The sequence below is a fragment of the Homo sapiens genome, chromosome 8, assembly GCF_000001405.40.
Source record: "Homo sapiens chromosome 8, GRCh38.p14 Primary Assembly".
NCBI classification, from domain to species: domain Eukaryota; kingdom Metazoa; phylum Chordata; class Mammalia; order Primates; family Hominidae; genus Homo; species Homo sapiens.
The window spans coordinates 85,804,129-85,813,598 of record NC_000008.11 but is presented as its reverse complement, the minus strand read 5'-3'; the positions used below and the strand labels follow the sequence as shown (position 1 = coordinate 85,813,598).

At 44.3% G+C, this 9,470-nt stretch overlaps 1 annotated feature.

Annotated features, from left to right (window-relative positions):
- Nucleotides 4,524-5,025: an enhancer, noted in NCBI's record as "OCT4 hESC enhancer chr8:86820803-86821304 (GRCh37/hg19 assembly coordinates)". NCBI's record gives its function as "activates a minimal SCP1, AML or CMV promoter by ChIP-STARR-seq in naive H9 embryonic stem cells {active_cell/tissue: H9 hESC(naive)}" and the evidence as "EXISTENCE:reporter gene assay evidence [ECO:0000049][PMID:30033119]".

Here is a 9,470-nt window from a genome sequence, read left to right as displayed (position 1 = left end):
AAAATGCATACCCTAACATCACCATTAAAAGGATGAGAGAAGCAAGAGCAAACACATTCAAAAGCTAGCAGAAGGCAAGAATTAACTAAGATCCGAGCAGAACTGAAGGAGATAGAGACCCAAAAAACCCTTCAAAAAATCAATGAATCCAGGAGCGGGTTTTTTGAAACCATCAACAAAATTGATAGACCACTAGCAAGACTATTAAAGAATGAAAGGAAGAAGAATCAAGCAGATGCAATAAAAAATGATAAAGGGGATATCACCACTGATCCCACAGAAGTACAAACTACCATGAGAGAATACTGTCAACACCTCTAGGCAAACAAACTCGGAAATCTAGAAGAAATGAATAAATTCCTGGACACATGCAACCTCCCCAGAGTAAACCAGGAAGAAGTTGAATGCCTGAATAGACCAATAACAGGCTCTGAAATTGAGGCAATAATTAATAGCCTATCAAGCAATAAAACTCCAGGACCAGACGGATTCACAGCCGAATTCTACCAGAAGTACAAGGAGGAGCTGGTACCATTCCTTCGGAAACTATTCCAATCAACAGAAAAAGAGGGAATCCTCCCTATCTCATTTTATGAGGCCAGCATCATCCTGATCCCAAAGGCTGAGAGAGACACAACCAACAAAGAGAATTTTCGGCCCATATCCCTGAGGAACACCGATGGAAAAATCCTCCATAAAATGCTGGCAAACCGAATCCAGCAGCACATCAAAGAGCTTATCCATTATGATCAAGTGGGCTTCATCCCTGACATGCAAGGCTGGTCCAACATATGCAAATCAATAAACATAATCCAGCATATAATCGGAACCAAAGACAGAAACCGCGTGATTATCTCAACAGATGCAGAAAAGGCCTTTGACAAAATTCAACAGCCTTTCATGCCAAAAACTCTCAATAAATTAGGTACTGATGGGACATACCTCAAAATAATAAGGGCTATTTAGGGCAAACCCACAGCCAATATCATACTGAATGGGCAAAAAGTGGAAGCATTCCCTTTGCAAACTGCCACAAGACAGGGGTGCCCTCTCTCACCACTCCTATTCAACATAGTGTTGGAACTTCTGGCCAGGGCAATCAGGCAGGAGAAAGAAACAAAGAGTAATCAATTAGGAAAAGAGGAAGTCAAATTGTCCCTGTTTGTAGATGACACGATTGAATATTTAGAAAACCCCATCGTCTCAGCCCAAAATCTCCTTAAGCTGATAAGCAACTTCAGCAAAGTCTCAGGATACAAAATCGATGTGCAAAAATCACAAGCATTCTCATACACCAATAACAGGCAAACAGAGAGCCAAATCATGACTGAGCTCCCATTCACAATTGCTTCAAAGAGAATAAAATACTGAGGAATCCAACTAACAAGGGATGCGATGTGCGAAGGACCTCTTCAAGGAGAACTACAAACCACTGCTCCACGAAATAAAAGAGGACACAAACCAATGGAAGAATATTCCATGCTCACGGTTAGGAAGAATCAGTATCGTGAAAATGGCCATACTGCCCAAGGTATATTATAGATCCAATGCCATCCCCATCAAGCTACCAAGGACTTTCTTCACAGAATTGGAAAAAACTACTTGAAAGTTTACATGGAACCACAAAAGGGCCCCCACTGCCAAGATAATCCTAAGCCAAAAGAACAAAGGTGGAGGCATCAAGCTACCCGACTTCAAACTACACTACAAGCCTACAGTAACCAAACAGCATGCTGTTGGTTGCCTTTTTGGTTACTGTAGACCAATGGAACAGAATAGAGCCCTCAGAAATAATACGACACATCTACAACCGTCGGATCTTTGACAAACCTGACAAAAACAAGAAATGGGGAAAGGATTCCCTATTTAATAAATGGTGCTGGGAAAACTGGCTAGCCATATGTCCGAAGGTGAAATTGGATCCCTTCCTTACACCTTATGCAAAAGTTTATTCAAGACGGATGAAAGACTTAAATGTTACATCTTAAGCCAAACAAACCCTAGGAGAAAACCTAGGCAATACCATTCAGGACATAGGCATGGGCAAGGACCTCATGTCTAAAACGCCAAAAGCAAAGGCAACAAAAGCCAATATTGACAAACGGCATCTAATTACACTAAAGAGTTTCTGCACAGCTAAAGAAACTCCCATCAGAGTGAACAGGCATGCTACAGAAAGGGAGAAAATTTTTGCAATCTACTCATCTGACAAAGGGCTAATATCCAGAATCTACTAAGAACTCAAACAGAGTTACAAGAAAAACCAAACAACCCCATCAACAAGTGCGGGAAGGATATGAAGAGACACTTCTAAAAAGAAGACATTTATGCAGCCAACAGACACATGAAAAAATGCTCATCAACACTGGTCATCAGAGAAATGCAAATCAAATCCGCAAAGAGATATCGTCTCACACCAGTTAGAATAGCGATCAATAAAAAAGTCAGGAAACAACAGGTGCTGGAGAGGTAGTGGAGAAATAGGGACACTTTTACACTGCTGGTGGGACTGTAAACCAGTTCAGCGGTTGTGGAAGATAGTGTGGCGAATCCTCAAGGATCTAGAATTAGAAATACCATTTGACCCAGCCGTCCCATTACTGGGTATACACCCATAGGACTATAAATCATGCTGCTAAAAGGACACACGCAGATGTATGTTTATTGCAGCACCGTTCACAGTAGCAAAGACTTGGAACCAGCCCAGATGTCCATCAATGATAGACTGGATTAAGGAAACGTGGCACAAATACACCATGGAATACTATGCAGCCATAAAAAAGCATGTGTTCATGCCCTTCGGAGGGACACGGATGAAGCTGGAAACCATCATTCTTAGCAAACTATCGCAAGGACAAAAAAACCAAACACCGCGTGATCCCACTCATAGGTGGGAATTGAACTAGGAGAACACTTGGACGCAGAAAGGGGAACATCACACACCGGGGCCTGTCATGGGCGGGGGGAGGGGGAGGGATAACATTAAGAGACATACCTAACGTAAATGACTAGTGAATGGGTGCAGCACACCAACATGGCACGTGCTTACATACGTAATAAACCTGCACGTTGTGCACATGTACCCTAGTAATTAAAGTATAATTTAAAAAAAAATGGAAAACGAAAGTGTGATCCTAATGTCATGGTGCGGACTGAATGAAGCAGCACATGGCAAGCCTTAAAACGATCGCACATAGTAGGTGTTCAATTAATGTTAACTATATTTCTTTTTTATAATAGTTTATAAAGGGAATTCATGAACACTATGTGATTAATCCTTGGAACAACCCAACAGGTAGGTAAATAAAGCCTAATTTTATACCTAAAGAAACCATGCGGCTTAACTTGCCCAAAATAATAATGATTGTAATGAGCACTGGCTGTTGGTTTCTTATGTACTTGGTACTTTGCACGTATTAACCCAGTCAGTCCTCCTAATAGTTGTGAGAGAGATAGCATTCTTATCCCCATTTTACAGATGAGGAACCTGAAGCCCAGGTGATAAGTAGTTTATCCAAGGTATCATAGCTAGAAGTCGGGTGCAGGCAGTCTGGCTCCAGAGCCCCTGCTCTGTCCGCTGACCTAGCTGACTTCCCAAGAGTCAAAGTGGATTCTTCCCCAAGACCAACCAATTACAATGACTGAATCAGTCAGTCAACTTCGAACTGGGCTCCAAGAGAGAACGAACCATCATGCCTCTCTAAATCCTCATTTCTAGTTTGAATCTTCAAGGAGAGATAGACACTAAGTAGCTAGTTTTGCTGGAATGGCTGATTTTATCAATGTTTTCGGTGTGTGAGTGTGTGTGTGTGTATATGTATAGAACTAAATTAAACTGATAATTTGAATGCTTACACTTCCATTAGTTCAATTTGTGTATGTGAGCCCTCACACACATACATACACACACACAAACTGTTCCAGAACAGTGACTTAGTGAAAAACTGGATTTCCACTCTGTCAGACAAATTTCGGAAAGCACTGAAGTAGGGCATTTCTGATTGATTTTACCGTTCCCGGAATTTTATTTTCCTTTATCACTTAGACCCCTTCTGTGGGGATTTAATAAATAAACGTCTTTTGTAGTGTATGTTATTTCATTTTACTTTTATAATTTATATGAATTTTAATTTTAACTTGACAAATAAAAATTATATATATTTATGGCATACAACATGATGTTTCATACGTGTATACATTGTGGAATGACAAAATCAAGCTAATTAACACACTCGTTTCCTCACATACTGATTTTAATGTGATGAGGACATGTCTAAAATCTACTCTTATAGCAATTTTCAAGTATACAATACATACTTATACACTGTAGATGCCAGGCTGTTCAATAGATCTCTAGAACCATTCCTCTCTGAAATTTTGTATCATGAGACTATCATCTCTCCAGTCCCTCCCTGACCCCTGCCTCGGGTAACCACCGTTCTGCTCTCTGCAGCTATGAGTTGCATTGTTTGAGATTGCACATATAAGTGAGATCATGCAGTATTTGTCTTTTTGTGCTTGCTTTTTAAATCTTTATTATGTAATTATTTATTTTTTGAGACAGGGTCTCAGTCTGTCACCCAGGCTGGAGTACAGTGACACAAACACGGCTCACTCACCCACCACGGCCTCCACCTCCCGGGGTCGAGAGTTCCTCCCGCTTCAGCCTCCTGAATAGCTAGGACTACAGGCGTCCAACGCCACACTTGGCTAATTTTTGTGTTTCTTTTAGAGATGGGGTTTCACCATGTTGCCCAGGTTCATCTCCAACTCCTGGGCTCAACGCTTCCACCTGCCTTGGCCTCCCAAAGTACTGGGATTACAGGCATGAGCCACCGTGCCTGGCCTTTGCTTTCTTTCACTCAGTGTACCATCCTCTAGGCTCATTCGTGTTGCCAATGAGATGATTTCTTTCTTTTTTAAGGCTGAATTGTGTTCTATTGGGTATATGTACCGCTTTTCTTTTTATGTTTAATTTTTTTTGGTTTTTTGAGACAGAGTTTCGCTCGCGTCGCCCAGGCTGGAGTGCAGTGGCGTGATTTCGAGTCACTACAACCTCTGCCTCCCAGGTTGAAGTGATTCTCCTGCCTCACCTGAGATTAGAGGCATGTACCGGCATGTCCGGCTAATTTTGTGTTTCTAGTAGAGATGGGGTTTCACCATGTTGGCCAGGCTGGTCTTGAACTCCAACAATTCTAATTCAACTAATTTATTTTATAGAAATATTTATGTGTGAGAAACAATATTTTCAAGAGTCAAAGATTTAAAACTGCTTAATTGTACATCACTAAGTGGCTGGCTAATAAATTATAGTACGTTCATCCTTACGGAAGAATACTTTGCAGCTAAAACAGAACGAAAGAGAGGAAACTCTTCAAAATGTTAACTGGGAATGACGTTCAAGACTTATTGTTAAATAAAACAAATTGAGAAGAAGAGTCGTTTATTGGTACTAAATTTGTGTCAGTAAAAATGGATTCTATACGTGGGATGGTTTATAAGTATGTGGAAAAATTCTTTGATGGTTTTTCCTTGAAAAAGTGAAACCTAAATCCACTCCGTTTGGATGTGGGCCTATTTACGGTTGTTGCTTCCTAAACATAAACTACGTTTAGGCTGATATTTCAGACAATGAAACCTTTGAGTGCCCGTAGCGGGAAGATCTCGGTTGCTGAGTGCAGGGAAGGAGGATGTAATTCCATCATATATACTCTCTGTGCCTACCGCATTTGGAACCATGCGAGTGATACGTATTTATAAAATAACATAAACCAAGCACAAGTACGAACTTAGCAACACTATATTGAGTTAATAGAACGGTATCTTGTATTTCTTCTGTCCAGGTATACTTATAAATGCCTGCAGGGATTTCACCACCTCAGGGTGGAGAGACTCAATGCTTGTGAGGGAATTAGGATGGTGGAATATTGGTGTTACCAGGGAAGGGGGCGGGATGTTTGAAAATGCTATGTTTACTCGTTCTTGGGTTCCAATAAAGGAGAAACAGGGCACAGGAGTCGGAAGGACTAGTGGCAATAGTGATGAAAGGACCTCCTTATCATGCTGGCTATGTTAATTACCCAGGTGTAGGAAGCCATACACTGAGGCGGAAGATCGCAAGTCAGAGTGGCCGGCAGGCACAACCTCCTGGCACACCAGAGGCAGGTCTTCAATACCCACTGGTTTCCCCAACAGGCTGCGTAAGGGACCCTGAGCCACAGTGAGTTGGTCAAATGCTCCTGACAGTGTGGAGAAACCAACAGGCAAAACGTGGGTGCAAAAGTGATGAGACCCCACACTTTACACTCGTGGTGACAATGAAGCTATTAAGTAACAGCTTCTCAACCTATGCTGTTTCCTGTTGGATGCACATAATCCATTTGCACTGCAGACAATTTTAGGATGTGGTTTACAGTAAGGTGGATGGTACCTTATGGCAAAAATCTCTCAGAAATTTATGTGTGGTTTTAAAGTCATTCCAGTCCTAGCACGTTGTGCTTTTCAGAGACGCCATAGCTGTTTTTCCCTTTGTAATATCAAAGCAGTAATATGTTCTCTGGAGGCCTGTTGGGTGAATTTAATGGAATCAAGTTAAGTAGGTGCCAGAACCATTGCTGTTTTCCCTCCATAGCCCTGCCACCCACTGTAAAAAGGTTGATGAGATTACTTAATGATTTCCAATTAAGTTGTATTTCCAAATATCATGATTTCCATTTTAATGTAGTTGGTATGGAGCTCTGTGAGTGTGTGCTTCTTTTATTATGGATCACGTTCAGCTTCTTTTTATTTGCCTCCTAGTCATAATAGTAAAACTCTACTCCTCTACTCCGAGGAGTCCCTACCACCCATCTCATCACTTTCCAGCCCAGCACTCTTCATGCTCATTCATTTAAAGCATTCAACATTGTGTAAATGAATCTTGGAAGGCAAAAGCTACTGAATTTAGCGAATTTGTGGAGGCATTGCCACAAATCAGCCAGGTGAAGTTTCACACAATCGAAGACTGCACAACTCCTAGAAGGCAGCACTATGCTGCAAACCCAGACGGCCACTCTTCTCACCCCTCGTCCGTTTGCTGTTCTGGATAATGAGGTTCAAAAGTCACCTAGGCAACTGCCAAAATAGCTGAAATGGAGAAAGGGCTTCAGGCTGGTGACTAGCAGAGGTCCACCTGACCCCCGTAAGCTGCTGAACAAGTAGGGCTGCCAGAAATGTCCCACTAGGGAATTTGGTAGAGACGAAGACATGCTCACCGGACAAGGGTTCCTCCCAGGATACGCCCGAGCGGAAGAAGCGGGCTCTGAGCCACGCCCTTTCACCCTCCTCTACCCCGCCCTGGGCTGGTGAAGGTGCGCGCCAGGATGTGGACTACTGAGCCCTGAAGAAATAAGTCCTTCCACTTTGACCCCATGGAGGATTGCCTGTGAGGAACTTAAACGAGTCTACCAGTGTCTAGACACGGGGGCAGGTCTGTCCGGCACAGCAGCTCCCTCAAGGAGGAGAAGAGTGAGGAGAAAGGAAACTCAAGTCTCACCATTCTGTCCTGGGAGAGAAGAGGAGGATCTCATCTCTCATCTGTCCAAACAAGGCAAGGAGACTTTCTCTCATCTTTCCAAGCAAGGCAAGGAGACTTTTTATCATTAGGAAACAAAAAGAATTTAGAAGGAATGAAAGCAGCCCGTAAGGTGAATTCCTAAGGACTGCCCATTGAAACTGACAAAATTGCCCTTGTTTGATGAGAGGAATGAGCAGAGCATTGATGTGGTGAACAAGGATCTAGTGAGACTTTCCCAGCATGTTTCTACCAAAGCTTTACCTAAGCTTCTCAGAACACTCTCCTAATAAGCAGATGTTTGGCCTTTCAGAAAGTCAACAAGCAAAATGCCTTGAGTGTCCCAAAACACTGATGCCATGATGTGGGCTCCTGACTGGCCTCCTTTTCCTTTGACTGGACCACTGCCACCTCTTGGTAGCCATCGCTTTCATGATGCTTTGCCTTCGAGATCATATTGGTGAAGCCATGTTCCAACTGCCGCTTACAATTTGTCAGAGGGATGCGTCAGGATCGTGATCCCTCCTGTTTAAAATTTCCACTGATAGCTCTCGTCGTAACTGCAGCTGATCTGGGCACAGTGGTTTTCACAGCCACTGCAGGATTCATCTTCCACATCTTCTCACCTCTTCTTGAAACAAGCTATACATTCGAAAAGAGTTCATTTCTTTGGGGTAGTGTCCTTACAAGCTTTTCTTAAAACGTCAATGATGTCTTCAATCTTCCACCCAAGCTTCACCATAAATTTGATGTTTCCTCTTGCTGCAATTTTCGTGGAATTCATGTTGCTCTGACGGGAGTCCTTTTCAGTGGATGTCTCATCCTTCTTAGTGCCTCAAACTAGATCTAGTTCAGAAAGGTTATCAGAAGTTAGGACAAGTTTATTTTAGTGCAAACCAGTGGAAATCCATGCATAGTTTCTTCACCATGTGCATTTTCTATGAACCTTTGGAAGACCACCTGTGTTGAACATTGCCCAAGTCCTGGGAGAGAAGTGGGTGCGGTCCGCTTCCTGTCCTCAATTTGCCCGCAGCGGCGGAGTGCACAGAGCAGGGAAAGGCAGCCCCAGAGGGATCCCGCCCTCCAGCATGCAGCAGACTGCTGGCCCAGTCCTGGCTCCAAGGGGTGCTGTGTGGGCCCAAGCAAGTTGACCAACCTCCCTGAACCTTAATTTAATCCTAGGTAGCCCAATTCCAGTAGCCATTATAGGACTGCCCTGCAGGGACAGTTACTTAACTCAGGAAAAGCAACCTAGCTCCAAGTTTAGCAACCGGGAGTTCCAGTTGATTCCATTAGCGCACCCCCTGAGGCATTCCCAAGCTGGAGTCTGGTGGAAGATGAGGCTCAGTGTGATTGGACTGAAGCACCAACCTATCAAGGAGAAGTCCCACCCAGTCTGCCCTGTGCCTATATAAAGGCGACAAGTGGCGGCCGCAGCACTCATTGAAGCCGCCAGTTGGGAGAGGAGCAGAGCCAGGCCGGTGCTCCCGAAGGCAGCAAGATGTTGCGAGCCACAGCTCCCTGCTGGTTCCCCCCTGGATACCCAGAAGCTAAGAAGGTGGCCGAGGAGGCGGCCCTGGAGGCAAGCCGCCATTTGGGAGGGGAGCAGAGCCAGGCCGGTGCTCCCGAAGGCAGCAAGATGTTGCGAGCCACAGCTCCCTGCTGGTTCCGCCCTGGATACCCAGAAGCTAAGAAGCTGGCCAAGGAGGCGGCCCCGGAGGCAAGCCGCCATTTGGGAGCGGAGCAGAGCCCGGCCGGTGCTCCCGAAGGCAGCAAGATGTTGCGAGCCACAGCTCCCTGCTGGTTCCCACCTGGATACCCAGAAGCTAAGAAGGTGGCCGAGGAGGCGGCCCTCGAGGCTCCAGAATTCCCACTGCCCTCTCATCAGCCTGCCCAGAGCTTCGGGCTCTGGGTGCCC